Source organism: Homo sapiens, chromosome 9 (genome assembly GCF_000001405.40).
Source record: "Homo sapiens chromosome 9, GRCh38.p14 Primary Assembly".
Lineage (NCBI taxonomy): Eukaryota > Metazoa > Chordata > Mammalia > Primates > Hominidae > Homo > Homo sapiens.
In genome coordinates, this window is record NC_000009.12 from 5,268,608 (window position 1) to 5,269,909 (window position 1,302).

The 1,302-nt window shown below is 37.3% G+C and overlaps 1 annotated feature.

Moving 5' to 3' along the window:
- Window positions 476-1,011: an enhancer, noted in NCBI's record as "NANOG-H3K27ac hESC enhancer chr9:5269083-5269618 (GRCh37/hg19 assembly coordinates)". NCBI's record gives its function as "activates a minimal SCP1, AML or CMV promoter by ChIP-STARR-seq in primed H9 embryonic stem cells {active_cell/tissue: H9 hESC(primed)}" and the evidence as "EXISTENCE:reporter gene assay evidence [ECO:0000049][PMID:30033119]".

Sequence of the window (1,302 nt, forward strand, 5' to 3'; positions counted from 1 at the left end):
GTACTTTCCATTGGTTGCCCTCAAGCTGCTGACCAATCACTGCTCCCAAGGCCCTACTTGAAATCTCATTGACTGCCCACACTCAGTCCTCACTCTGCCATTGCTGGTGCCCAAATGTTTAAACTTTTCCTTTGTAACTTGCTGTTATTGAAAGGATTTCACCTGTATTGAAAGGATTTCACAGTAACTACTTTTAGTAGCTATTAATAGGTCCTTGATCATGAGTAGTTTCAGTAGTCTAAGAAGTTGTGAAAAGCCAGATTAAATTTAAAGTACACAAGTCTTTAAAGTCTTTAATATGTAAACAGCCATTGTTAACATCTAAGAGGATAATATCGCCATTTTCTATTATTATTATTATATTGGTTCACCAAACTAGCATATGTAACACAGCTTTGGACATATTGCATTTAAATATTGCTTCACTTGTTCTATCTGTTTTTAAACTATTTTGAAGCAATTTTTAATATTTGCATTACCAAACCAAACTTGGGTCAGCTTGACTGCCACAGCAAAGGCAAACACACACTCCTAGGCTTATAGAGAGATTAAAAAAAAAAAAAAAACAAACAAAAAGGCATTTATTGCAGAGCAGAAAACGAGGAGAACTGGCAGGTAACATTTAAGACCAAAACTCCCTGATAGCTTACAAGCAAAAGATTGTTAAAGGCTGAGGTAAGGGGGCTCTCTAAAGTGAGTTAGGGCTGAGGAATTTCTGGAATTTCCTCATCTACTTTCGGGTTCCGGTCTGTCTGAGGTTCCATTCTGTTTGAGGTCTATGTGACAGCAATCAGCATTTTTCGTGCAGTGGTAGTCCTTGATTCTGAAAAAAATTCGAGGATATATGTCAAGATGTTACCACTAGGTTATACAGGAAACCAAACATCTTGTGACTCTAATTTACACAAGGTTGATTGTCTAAGTTATTATTACCTTCTTGCTGAGCAGGTTATTTATTCACGTCACCAGTTGCTGGTTGCAAAGGAAGCTAGATGAATGGAATTTCCCTTGAAGGGACCCAAATCTTTCTGTATTCCCATGCTTTGAAGAGGCGATAGGGACCTGGCAGGCCCTTAAGAGGCATTCCTACTCCATCCAATATGCAATCTCCCTCTCACTGTAAGAAAATCTGCCAAATCTCCTTCAGCAATCCACATTTTGATTCACCAACAGTAGGTAAACTAATGGTTTGCAAATGTGCTCTAATGAAAGAAATTCAGTAAGATTGATAATAATAATAAAAGCTAACATTTGATACTTTTTTGCTAAATGTCAAGCATTATGCTAAATGCTTAACATGAT